This window comes from Homo sapiens, chromosome 22, assembly GCF_000001405.40.
Source record: "Homo sapiens chromosome 22, GRCh38.p14 Primary Assembly".
NCBI lineage: Eukaryota > Metazoa > Chordata > Mammalia > Primates > Hominidae > Homo > Homo sapiens.
The window spans coordinates 30250683-30262514 of record NC_000022.11 but is presented as its reverse complement, the minus strand read 5'-3'; the positions used below and the strand labels follow the sequence as shown (position 1 = coordinate 30262514).

Genomic DNA, 11832 nt, shown 5'->3' with positions numbered 1-11832 from the left:
TCTGGGCCCCCATGGGTGTGTGGCTGAGGTCTGTGTGCTGATGGACGTTGCATGCTGATGTGTGTTATATACCAATGTGTGTTGCATGTGTATTTCTCTTACCTCATTTTGAAGCCTGGATGTCAGTGTCCTAATGGAGGCATATGTCTGTATCTGTATTTATGAATGCTTGTAGGCATGGATATCTGGGTGCGTCTCTGCATGCATGTCTGTGCATGTGCAAGCTTAGGTATGTGCCAGTGTGTCCTCTCATATGTGTGTATGTTCCTGGATCACCCTGGGGGACATGGGCACATCCGGCGCCTGGAACATGGAAGGTGCTCTAGGCATTTGTGGAATAAATCAAAGAGTGAGTTCACAGTTACACCCCTGCCACCAGCATCCTGCCTCATGTGGAGTGAGCATGCAGCAGACACGAGGAATGGCTGTGTGCAGAAGAATGAAGAGACCTGGCTGGGCTTGAAATCCTGTCTCAGCCCCGTTCCATCTCTCTGGGTGACCTTGGGAAAATTCCTTCACATCTCTGAGCCTTTGTTTCCTCATCTGTGGAATGAACAAAAGAATAACAGATCCTGCCTTAGACAAGGCCAGTGACCTGGTTTGTGCTTAAAACTGCTTCCTGAAGTGCCCAAGGGGTTAGGGTTTCCATCTGACTCGCAGAAAACTGGGCTCCCCCCGAATGCCCAGGCGAGCACGTATAGGCTGAAAACATGCTGAGGCAAGGGCTCCCAGAGGCAGGTGAGCTTGACTTGGATCGGTCCCTGGCTACCCCCACTTCCTGAAATGGCAAATAGAGCTGGGGATGGGATGGGAACAGGAGGACTTGACATCAGGGTGGAGGAGAATCAGTGCAGAACTCCCTGCAATAGACATGATACATTTTGCAGATGAGAAGACTGAGGCTCAGAGAGTCTGAGTGGCCTGCCCACATCCTCAGACCAAATTAACTGGGGATAGGCACAGTTTGAATTCAGGGCCGTGGGACTCCCAGGCGGATGCATCTTCCTGGTGCCCCTCTTCCTCTGTAACTTGGCTGACAATTTCATGAATTCCTGAAGGCACAGAGCTCCAGGGCAAGGGGCAGACAGACAATAGACAGGCACAAGGACCAACAGGAGCATCTGCGATTGCAGGATGAGCTCAGCAAAAATAAAGCAGGGTGATGTAACAGCAGCGGGAGAGCCAGGCGCTGCGAGTGGTCAGAGTGGCATCTGGAGAGGTGATGTCCACACTGTGGTCTGAGTGACGTGCAGATGGGGAGGCGGGAAGAGCTAGGGCAAAGGCTCTGAGCATTCAGGGATCAGAGTATCATGAGTGAGGGCATCAGGATTTACCCAAAGGCCCAGAGAGGGGACGCATCTTGCTTAGGGTCACAGAGCAAAGTAGTGCAGGGCTGAGGCTAGAACTCCAGGCCCCTAACTCCCAACCAGCAGTCTTCCTGGGAAGCTCTCTGAAATATTCCAGCCTATTTACCAAGTACCTAGCAAGAGCCTCCCGCGGCCCCCACTGGGCTCCCCCTTGCCCTCAGGGGTCCTACCATAACGGCCATCTTTTGGCTCCCAAAATGCCTGGGGCTCCTTCCTACCACAGGGTTTCTTCTTATGCTGTTCCCTCTGCCTGGAATGCTGTTCCCCGTCCTGTTTGTCAAGTTAGCTCCTTCCTTGTCAGATCTCAGCTGGAGGATGCATCCTTAGCAATTCTTCCTCACCTGTCCAGAGTCTGGGTCCAGGAACTTGGTTGTGCCGTCCCTTCTGGCAGCACGCACTCTGTGTGGTGTTCACATTCCCAACTGCATCTCTTATTAGCATGGAGGACGGAGACCGAGTCTGCTTTGCTTGATGCTGTCTCTGCATCCGCATGGTGCCTGGTGCACAGTAGGCGCTCAAGGAAGAGCAGGGCAGGTGGGGCCCCGCCTCCCAGCCCCAAGGAGAAGACAGAGGCAAATGTGTTGCTGGGGGAAGCAGAGGCACCGAGGCCTGCACCAGGGAGCCCATCCTAGACAGGTGCCACCCCCACGCTCGGCCTGCCCTGGCTCCAGGCCCCGCCAACAGCAGAGTGGGGGCCCTCACTTGTGTCTCCCTGCCCCAGCTGGGGGAAGAGGGTTTCCTCCACCTCAGCTGCTGGGAAGCTGTGGGTGGGAGGTGGCAGACACCAAAAGCCAGGTACACTCTGGTTCCCGGAGCGGAAGAGGAGCAGGCACCGCAGCTGACGCTGGGGTTGCCCTCCAGGAGGGCAGAGGTTGGCCTGTGGAGGAAAAGCTGGGAAGCCCAGCATGGCTGCCTGACCCCTGGCCATCCCCTACCTCTCACTGCCCAGGAGAGGAGTCTGAGGCTGACTTTGAACTAGAGCACACCCACCCCACAGGAAACAGATGGGGGAGCTTGACTCTGGGAGGGGGTCTCAAGTACACTGTCTATGAGGACTTGTCACCCCCGTAACATCTCCTGAGGAGTCACAGTTGCAGGTAACCCCAAACTACCACCTGCAGTCTGATCCCTCCCAAGGCCAGATCCTACAGACCCAGCTACCAGGATAGTCTCCTGACTTAGTGGGTGCCTTGAAGCCAAACTCACCGTTCTGCCCCCAAACCCTGCACTTGCTTTCTGCTTCTCATTTGCCCCTACTAAAGTTCCAGAATCCCAGCCCATTGCCTTTATCTCCCTCGGCCCCTCCTCTCCCCTCCATCACTCGGTCCTGTGGTCTCTCCCATACCCGTCTCTTGCAGGCGACTCCTCTCCCCATCGCCTTCCAGGGTCTGGATCCCTGGACACAGCCTAAAAGTATCACTATTGTCCTATCTTCTCCTGCTTGCAAACCTTCCGGAACTCCCTCTTATCCTAGTGCACAGAGCATCCATTCCTAACTCCTGGCTGCAGCATCAGAGGCCCCCAGCTCTCAGGCACGGCCCATGTTGCCAGTCATCTCTGCATTCTATCCACTCAGCTGCTCCCACCCCTGCATGCAGCCTGGGCTCCCTATTCCCCCTCAGCTCTTCTTTTTTTTTCCCCCTTTGGAGAAACAGGGTCTCACTGTCTCGCCCAGGCTGCAGGACAGTGGCACGATTGTGGCTCACTGCAGCCTCGACCTCCCGGGCTCAAACAATCCTCCCACCTAAGCCTCCTGGGTAGCTGGGACTACAGGCCACCACCGTGCCTGGCTAAATTTTTAATTTTTGTAGAGATGGGATCTTGCTATTTTGCCCAGGCAGGTCTCGAACTCCTGGCCTCAAGCAACCCTCCCACCTCGGTCTCCCAAAGTGCTGGAATTACAGGCATCGGCCTCTGTTCCTGGCCCCCCTCCCTATTTCTTACATCCTCCTGCCCTTGAGGCCAAGCACAGATGCCCCCACCTCTGTGATTGCCCCACCCAGAGGGGCTTGTGGGGCAAGCTCCCACTTGGAGTTTCCATCAGACAGAGGCAGAACGGGGCCTTGTCAAATCATCCTGCCGACTCCACAGCACGGACTGCTGTGTGATGGGTCCCCACGACCATCCACCATGAGAGGCAGCAGGATGGGGCCCTCTGAGCAACCGCTTTGTTGCCACAGTGTGCGAGAGCTGACGCTCTGCTAGGCACACTTTCCCTGGAGGGACGGGGCCTTCAGCGCCTGCAAAGAAGTGTGTGCTCCCGGCACTGACTCACATAAGGGACAAAGGCGTCACGAGCAGCCGTCCGCTGGCACCAGGCTAAGGAAGATAAAGAGATCCTGGTGCAGTCCAGCCGCTGAATCTACTCGAAGCTGGGTTCTCTTTTTCTTTTTTAAGTTTTTCAGGGCGGCGGTCCGGGACTCTCAGTCAATGCTGCATGTCACACACATGGGTTAAAAGTTCCCTAGGACAGCAAAACTACAGGAAAAGGCGGGGAGGGGTCCTGGCACATTTTGTTAATCTACAGAACAAACTCAGCGTAGAAACAGCAGAGCCAGGATGCGAACCCGGGCCTCTGTGGCCTTAGACTCTTTGCTGCAGGTTTTCATGTGATTTTTTTTCTTCCCAGGGATGAGTTTAAAATACTTTAGAGTTACACAAAATGAGTTAGACCTCAGCCCCCTAGCTGGGTACTCTGCCCGGGCTGAGCCTCAGTTTCCCCTCTGTACAATGGGGCCAACTTGGCCCACCTCCCAGCTGTGACAAAGATTCCCTGGGAGATGGCACAGACACGACGTTATTGGCAGGGCCGTCCCTGACCCAGTGTGGCTGAGGCTCTCTCTCTTATTTCCTCTTTCCCTCCTTAGTGGTTTTCTTTCTTCTCGGCACTTTTCTCTTTGTCCCTGTCCTGTCACCTGCCCTGCCTGCCTCCCACCCTCCACCAGGGGCTGGGACATGGGGTGCCCACAAAAGCCCTTTTTCAGTGCCGAGGAAGGGTCACAGTCCATGCTCCTTTGGAGTGGGGAGGCCCTCCCAAGGCCGGCCCGGCTCCCTACGTCTCAGGACGTCTGAGGGCTGGGCTCGGGGAGGGGCGAAGGTCTCTGAGGGAGGGGGTTGGGCAGGCGGGGCCCTGGAGTTTGTGGCAGGGGTGGATCAGATGGGCCAGGTGGCGCCCCAGGTTTGGAGGTGGCTGCTGGGGCAGGGAGTGGTGGCCTGGGAGGGGGCCCAATGTCTCGTGGGGGGAGCTGCAGCCCTGTGACTCTTCTGGGGACAGGGACAAGGGGAGGCTGGATGTGCTGCACACGGCCTGTGGCAGGTCTGAGTCAAAACACCTAAGGCCGACCCCTGCGGTCATGCGGAGGGCTGCCCAGTCATCGCCTTATGCCGGCCTGGGTCACTCAGGCAGGCGGGGCGCGGCCCCGTCAGCTGTGACTCAGGCCCCAGCGGCCTCGCCACGCAGCACTGGGCAGGGGCATCGGGCACAAGGACGCCCCCTCCCCACACCCCGGCCCTGCTTCTCCCCTTGGCTCCCAAGACCCTGCCCCAACCTGTGTCAGGCACAGACTGGGTGGGAACCCAGGGCCCTCTGCACCTACTGCCCCCAGCCCTTCAACTGGAGGTGGGGGGTGGAAGTGGGGGTAGCGTCAGGGCCACCCAGCTCTGGACGGGAAGTCAAGTTGGGGGCGGGGTGAGGAGCCGACTCCAGAGAAGATCCAGCAGGAGAGGGAAGCAGAGGGGGCCTGGCCCGGAAGACGATGGTGTCCCACTGAAGACCTGGCAAACCTTCCAGATCCGGAGCGGCGTGTGCAGGCACAGACCACGGTAGGCTTCTCCCAGGGGCAGGGCCGGGGGTAGAGGCCAGCCTCCAAATTTATCCTCCACCAAAGCAAATATCACTCACTCCCTTGTGGGTCAGGGGGAGATCTGGTGGCCCACACACGCTCCAGGCCTCAGTTTCCCCTTCTATGCAATGGACATGGTGAGATAAGCCCCGAACATCTCTCTGAGGATGTTGAGGCTAAGCAGGAGAGAACGGATGCGAAAGTGTCATGTGGACATGTGAGGGTTTAAAGAGCATCAAAGGGTTAAAGGGCAGAGGAGAGAGCTCTGGACATGGTGGCTGGAAGGAGGCCTGGATTTGAATCCTGGCTGTTTGGGACCCTGGAGGGGTCAGTCATCTGGGAGTTTTGAGTCCTGGATTCCCAAGGGACCCTCAAGTTCTCTTTTCCCCAGAGCAGTACAGGGGACCCAGCCCATGAAGACCTCGGTTTCCTTCTGATGGAGAGGTGGTTCCTGTATAGGAGGCTCCAGCGTGTGTGGTCAGTCAAGTTCAAGGCCCCTGTGCTTTTGGCCTTGGGCCAGTGCAGGACTTGACTGCACTGTGCCTCACTCACTGTGTAAAATGGATCTAATTATGGGATCACTGTGGCGAGAAAGGAAAAATATAGGTAAAATCCTTGCACAGAGCCTGGCATGAGAGGGAAAGGGGCTCGACCCCAATCTTGCTATCAGCAACTCCCGAGACCTGGGGAGAGGCTTCCGAGGGGATAGGGAAACTGTCTCCGGGGTGGGCCAGTCCTGGGTCTGGATGCTGGGGTTCCCTGGCACGCTGGGGCAGGGTGGGGACCTGGGCTCTGCCCCACGTGTCCCTGGTTTACTTGGTTTACTTTACCTCTGTGGGTCTTAATTGTCTCCTCTGTAAAACGGTGATTGTAATTCCCATTTGGAAGAATTGTCATGAGGACCTGTAAATGGGGGCTGGGGAGAGAGGACGTCCTGGAAGTCTGAGGGAAGTGGGACGCGGCAGCAGGGCCAGGAGAGAAATTCTTCTCCCCCTTCCTCCTCTTCCTCCTCCCAGAGGCTCCGCCAGGCAGAGGCACGTGGTCCTGGCACCCCCTTGTGGCCGGTCCTCAGGGCTTCCCCAGGAGGTGCTGGACATGGCATAGGCTCCTCCAAGACCCCCTCAGTGGTGCCCCCTTCTCCAGCCTTGGCCTGTATCTGCCCACTCTCCATTCTGAGTCTCAGGCATCCCGGCTCACTTCCTCAAATCCCCAAATGCCATCCCGCCTAGCTCTAGGGGAGGCCCCGGCTGCAGGCTGGCCTGGGGCTGGCGGGGCCGTGGCCGCAGGGCCTGCTGCCCGCTGGGCAGTGGGGGGCGCTGCAGCCCGTGGTTTGGAGCCGGGCTAGGTGATTGGGTGTCTTTCATATGCTGGTCTGGGAGCCCTGGACCTGGACTCTCCCCTAGCCCTGGGCCCAGCTTTCCTGGGGACCTGGGTCTCTCTCTCTATCCCCCACCACTGCTCCCCACAAGCCACTCTTCAGATAACCTTTTCTTTTTCTCTTTTCTTTCTTTCTTTTTTTTCCCTCTTTTTTTTTTTTTTTTTTTGAGACGGAGTGCAATGGTGTGATCTCAGCTCACCGCAACCTCCACCTCCTGGGTTCAAGCGATTCTCCTGCCTCAGCCTCCCGAGTAGCTGAGATTACAGGCATGTACCACCATGCCCAGCTAATTTTGTATTTTTAGTAGAGATGGGGTTTCTCCATGTTGGTCAGGCTGGTCTCGAACTCCCAACCTCAGGTGATCTGCCCACCTCGGCTTCCCAAAGTGCTGGGATTACAGGCGTGAGCCACCGTGCCCGGCCCCAAAGAACCTTTTCTAGACACTTTGGGACTCATGGACTTATCTAGAAAGGGAAACTGAGACTCTGAGAAGCTTCCTTCTGGAATTCTCACAAGCAAATCAGGACTGAAACCCAGGGTTCCTAGCTCTCTGTCTGGGAGTTCAAGAGAGGCCACTAGTCCACATACTACTGGGAATGTGCCACTAATTTGCTGTGTGGCCTTGGAAAAGCGACTTCCCCTCTCTGGGCCCCACAGCTAAGATAATATCAATAACACAGCCTGGTGCAGTGGCTCATGCCTGTAATCCCAGCACTTTGGGAGGCTGAGGCAGGAGGATTGCTTGAGCGGGGGTGATTGAGGCTGCAGTGAGCTATGGTGGCACTACTGCACTCCAGCCTGGGCAACAGAATGAGACCCTGTCTCAAACAATAGCAATATCAATAACCAAGCCATGTTTTCCATGCTGGCCAGCCTTTGCAGAGGACATTGCTGACCTCACAGGTTGACAACACTGTTACCCCATTTTGTGGACGTTGGAACTGAGGCCTGAGCGATGAGGCCACCTGCCCGAGGCTGCACAGTTCGTAAGTGGCCAAGGTGGGCCTGGACCTGGGGTCTGGCTGATTCCAGAGCCCACTTAGCCTCCTCCCCTCCACGGCGCAGCCTCATCTCTTCTCCGAGCTTTTCCTTTACCAAGTGGGGATGCTGAGGCCAGCAGGGGCCAAGATGGGCCCTAAGTCCCCCACCCCCACCCGGCAGGTGGGGGTGGCACAGGCCACTGTCCTCCCTCTGCAGGGGTCTCCTGCTGCCAGCCCTCTGGCTAGGGTGGACTTTGGGGAGACCTCAACAGCTGAGAGGTTCACAGAGAAGCTGGCTCTCTGGACAGCCCACCATGAATGACACCAGGCCGGGGCGTTGGTCCCACCCAGAAAGGGAGGAGATGGAAACAGGGTCCAGGGGTGGGGTGGGGGCAGAGGCTCGGCTGGGCAGAAGATCAGAGCGGGATTGTGTCATGCAGTCCTGTGGCTTATCAGCCACTGGGCGGCCTGGTCCAGGCAGGAGGGGCTGCCTGGGGAGTGACTCTGTGGGGACCCCCCCTGGGCCTGGCTGCTCAGACCACACCTGGGCCTCCCGGGTCCTGTTTTAGGGAGGCTGGGGGTAGGGGGCTGGGGTGGAGACCTGGCTCCATTACACACTGTGTGACCTGGGACAAATCATTCCACTCTGTGAGCCTCAGTTTCCGAGTCTGTCAAATGAAGTTTAAAATGCCTCCCTCAGAGAATGCGGGTTAGGGTTTGAGCCCATAGCGGGTTCTGGTGAGCACTTGGTAATGCTTGGTTTTGTGGGGAGGGGGTGGGAGAGAGGCTTATGAAAGCCTTGGGGGCCTGTGCCCCAAGAAGGGCACTACTCCGGGCTGGGAGGGTCCTGGAGGTCTAGGGGGACCCAAGGGTGCAGGACTGGTGGGGGACAGGTATTACGACCCCGTTGCAAGACACAGAGGGAAGCCTGGCCCCTCCAATCCCAGGTTCCACCAGCGGCTCCCCCACCCGGCCCCATCCCTCCCCTCACCCCAGGAAGCTCACTCTTCCTTCTCTTCCCAGGGAAGAGGATAGTCCAACCTCAGCCAGGTCTCACCCCTCCATCCTCCCCACCCAGTGGGATGGGACCACTTTATTCTTTCCATGTCATCACTGTCGCCAGACCGGAGGCTCCCATCACCCTCCCACCCACAATCCTCAGAACAATCCTCAGGCTCCCCTGGGTGCTGGGTCGGGTCAGGGTGGCCCCAGTGAGCTTGGCTGGGGGAGGGGAAGGAGAGGAGGCCAGGCCCACACCTCTGCACGGCCAGTTTCAGGCTGAATAGGTCCTCGGGCTGCTTCCTGTTCTGTTTATGGCCTCTGAGTCCAGGAAATCATTGAGTGACACGTCCCTCCTTTACCCCCCAGCCCCATGATTATTTAATAGGGGCCGCTGTGGTCTCTCTCTTTTGGAAAATCCAGTGGGAGAAGAAAGCTGTCAGCTCGCCTCTGACATCAGCTTTGTCCCTGTGCCAAGAGTCAGGGTGGCCAGGGCGTTGTGGAGCGGGGGGCTGGGGCGGGGTAGGGAGGAAGCCAGCTGCTGGTGGCCCCTGTGACGTGAGGCTGCCACATGGTTCCCAGGGGCGGGGGCTGGAGGGTGAGGAGCAGGGATTGTTGGAGACACACGCCGGGGCACACGCAGGCCTGGAGGCTCAGAAACGCATGCGTGCACGCCCAGGGTTAGGCCTCCCCCCTCTCCGAGCCGTCGTGCCCAGGGATCCACAGTCCTACACAAACTCATGCAGACACAAGGCCAGACACACAGTCGCACTGGCTTCATGCCCATGGGCACACGCGCACGCGTGCGCACACACACAGACTCACACAACCACACGGAGAACTCACAATAGCAGCCAGAGATGTGCACCGTCTAGCTCGCTGTCACACAAAGCAAACAGTACAAGCAGATCCACACACATGCACACACATGCATACACCACACATGCACACACGGGACCAGACACAGGCATGCACAGACACAGAGGCACTCACTACACACACATGCTCAGGCAAATGCCCACTCAGACTCAGACAAAGAGACTCAGCCATGTCCCAGGGCCACAGGGAGCCCAAGTGTGCACCCTCTACTGCAGGCTGTGGCTCTTGGCCTCAGGCTGCCCTGGGAAGGTGGCTGTGGCCACTTCCTCTTCCCGCACCCTGTGGTGAGGATGAAAGACTCCCTGGTGGAGTACGAAAGAAAGGCCTGTGACTGTCCTGGGCTCCACCCAGGTGGGACGGGGCAGGGCAGAGAGCCCAGGGGTCCGAGGCTGCGGAAGGGAGTGGACAGTGAGAGGTTGGGCTCTGGAAGGCCTTTGTCACGGCATGGCACAGGGTGCCGCCAGGTTCCCCACGTTGAGCACCTGCTCAGCCCCACCCCGCCCTACCCTGCGGCACCTCTGGCCCATTCCTGAGCTGGAAGGGAAGTCAGGAGCCCCGTGAGACACTGCTGAGTGACCTTGGGCAAGTCACTCCTCAGCCCCTCTGGGCCTGCTTTCAACATCGATACCAGTGGCTTGCAAATGTTTTTGACTGCCACCCACAGTAAGAAATACATTGCACCTTGCAACCAGATGAGGATGCAGATACTGACATACAGACAACCGGAAAAAAAGTTTCATGGAGCAATCCTCGCCCTGGCTCTGGGCGATGCCAGGTGATTTCGCTATTCCTTTTTGAAAGTGTTGGTGGCAACCCTCTAATTGAATTCATGACCCACGAAGAGGCAGAGGCCTGCAGTGTGAAAACACTGCTCTCTCTATATCTGCCTGCAGTGGTCTCAGGCTAGTTCGAGATTCAGGGAGAGCCTGGGGGAGGTAAAAGTGCTTGCAGAGTCTCAAAGGCCATGCTCACTAAATGCTGATGGCTGGGGTAGACAGCAACCCATTCTACAGAGCCCTGGGGGGGACCGGCCCCACGCAACGCCACGGCCAGGCCTCTGGCTGGCCCTGCCAATGATCAGGGGCTGCTGCTTCCCTTGCAATTTCTATCAGAAATGAAGAAAAAAAATGCAGTCACTCTGATTCATCTCCAGGGGGTTGATTCCTGACACAGTCGGTCGGGAAATGTCGGGTGATGATGGGAGCAGTTGGCAGAAGTCCAGGGTGGCTTCTGGCTTCTCCTTGGCCCTGAGGGGATACTGCTGGTCGCTGCCAGAGACTGGATCCGGTAAGGGTGAGAAGGGGCAGGAGATAGGTCCAGCGTCTGGACCTCAAGAGCCCCCAGAAGACAGCTGGGCTCTCCAGGGCCCAGAGATGGGGGAAGTACTGCTTATGTCCCCCCACAAGGTTCTGAGATGCTACCCACTCTCCCAAAACCCACACCAGGCTCCATGAACTAAGCGGACCCAGGAGCCACCTCCTGCCCTGACTCTCGGACTCCAGTGTGCTGACCATGGGACCCAGCCCTAACCCAAGCCCCTGACTCGGTCTGGAGTTTGAGCTCCTTCTGCGGCCACAACCAGATCTTATTAGAAGGGCTGCCATGTGTTAGACGTTTATCCGCATTTCCCAAGAAACATCCCCATGATGGCCCCACGAGGCTGTTATGACAGCATCCTCATTTGCAGAGGGGAAACCGAGGGTATGAGAAAGGAAGCCCGTTGTCCCGGGCCACATAGCTGGTTGTTGGGGCAGGAGGGATTTGAACCCACACCACTGGGGTGAGAACAGTGGAGGCACGGTCCGCTGGTGGCATCACACTCTCACTCCTCAAGCATTGAAGAGTGCGGTGCTCTTGCCTTTTTGGCCAGGATGCCCAATTGGCTGGGCTGTGCCCGGCATTCCTGAGCTTCACCATCTCCTCTGGCCACTCCTCACCAGCCCTGAGCCTGGGACCCACCCTCTGGCCCCCCGCTTCCTTCCTAGGCCCACCTGAGGGCTCTGCTCATTTTCCAGGTACCAGGGCCAGAGGGGATGGGGAAGGAAGGAGGGAGGCCAGCCTGGGCAGCCGGGGGTGCCCGGAGCGCTGTTTCTGGGTCGCTGGTCTTGGGGAATTCCCCAATGCCCGGAGAGCTGCTTACCTGGTGAGTAACTGCTGCTGGCTGCCCACACAGAATGCCTGACTGTGAAGGGACCTCCCATCTCACCCCTGCCCATGCCACTGACATGCTGCCCTCTCTCCTGAGAGCCCCAGGGTCCAGGAAAGAGACAGACAGGCAGGGGGCTGGCCCCCACCCCCGCATCCCCCCCCCAACCCCGGGGCTTTGCAGGGGGCGGCTGGTGATTCAAGCCCCTCAGAGCTGAGTTTGTCTCCTTCCTTCTCACATG

The 11832-nt window shown here is 57.9% G+C and overlaps 10 annotated features.

The window, feature by feature from the left end:
- Positions 1476-1975: an enhancer, noted in NCBI's record as "H3K4me1 hESC enhancer chr22:30656529-30657028 (GRCh37/hg19 assembly coordinates)". NCBI's record gives its function as "activates a minimal SCP1, AML or CMV promoter by ChIP-STARR-seq in naive H9 embryonic stem cells {active_cell/tissue: H9 hESC(naive)}" and the evidence as "EXISTENCE:reporter gene assay evidence [ECO:0000049][PMID:30033119]".
- Positions 4233-4834: an enhancer, noted in NCBI's record as "H3K27ac-H3K4me1 hESC enhancer chr22:30653670-30654271 (GRCh37/hg19 assembly coordinates)". NCBI's record gives its function as "activates a minimal SCP1, AML or CMV promoter by ChIP-STARR-seq in naive H9 embryonic stem cells {active_cell/tissue: H9 hESC(naive)}" and the evidence as "EXISTENCE:reporter gene assay evidence [ECO:0000049][PMID:30033119]".
- Positions 4835-5437: an enhancer, noted in NCBI's record as "H3K27ac-H3K4me1 hESC enhancer chr22:30653067-30653669 (GRCh37/hg19 assembly coordinates)". NCBI's record gives its function as "activates a minimal SCP1, AML or CMV promoter by ChIP-STARR-seq in naive H9 embryonic stem cells {active_cell/tissue: H9 hESC(naive)}" and the evidence as "EXISTENCE:reporter gene assay evidence [ECO:0000049][PMID:30033119]".
- Positions 6481-6600: a silencer, noted in NCBI's record as "silent region_13603". NCBI's record gives its function as "represses an Ori minimal core promoter by ATAC-STARR-seq in GM12878 lymphoblastoid cells {active_cell/tissue: GM12878}" and the evidence as "EXISTENCE:reporter gene assay evidence [ECO:0000049][PMID:35858748]".
- Positions 7320-7819: an enhancer, noted in NCBI's record as "H3K4me1 hESC enhancer chr22:30650685-30651184 (GRCh37/hg19 assembly coordinates)". NCBI's record gives its function as "activates a minimal SCP1, AML or CMV promoter by ChIP-STARR-seq in primed H9 embryonic stem cells {active_cell/tissue: H9 hESC(primed)}" and the evidence as "EXISTENCE:reporter gene assay evidence [ECO:0000049][PMID:30033119]".
- Positions 7820-8321: an enhancer, noted in NCBI's record as "H3K4me1 hESC enhancer chr22:30650183-30650684 (GRCh37/hg19 assembly coordinates)". NCBI's record gives its function as "activates a minimal SCP1, AML or CMV promoter by ChIP-STARR-seq in primed H9 embryonic stem cells {active_cell/tissue: H9 hESC(primed)}" and the evidence as "EXISTENCE:reporter gene assay evidence [ECO:0000049][PMID:30033119]".
- Positions 8717-8806: a silencer, noted in NCBI's record as "silent region_13602". NCBI's record gives its function as "represses an Ori minimal core promoter by ATAC-STARR-seq in GM12878 lymphoblastoid cells {active_cell/tissue: GM12878}" and the evidence as "EXISTENCE:reporter gene assay evidence [ECO:0000049][PMID:35858748]".
- Positions 8811-9575: an enhancer, noted in NCBI's record as "H3K4me1 hESC enhancer chr22:30648929-30649693 (GRCh37/hg19 assembly coordinates)". NCBI's record gives its function as "activates a minimal SCP1, AML or CMV promoter by ChIP-STARR-seq in primed H9 embryonic stem cells {active_cell/tissue: H9 hESC(primed)}" and the evidence as "EXISTENCE:reporter gene assay evidence [ECO:0000049][PMID:30033119]".
- Positions 9488-9557: an enhancer, noted in NCBI's record as "active region_18828". NCBI's record gives its function as "activates an Ori minimal core promoter by ATAC-STARR-seq in GM12878 lymphoblastoid cells {active_cell/tissue: GM12878}" and the evidence as "EXISTENCE:reporter gene assay evidence [ECO:0000049][PMID:35858748]".
- Positions 9576-10341: an enhancer, noted in NCBI's record as "H3K4me1 hESC enhancer chr22:30648163-30648928 (GRCh37/hg19 assembly coordinates)". NCBI's record gives its function as "activates a minimal SCP1, AML or CMV promoter by ChIP-STARR-seq in primed H9 embryonic stem cells {active_cell/tissue: H9 hESC(primed)}" and the evidence as "EXISTENCE:reporter gene assay evidence [ECO:0000049][PMID:30033119]".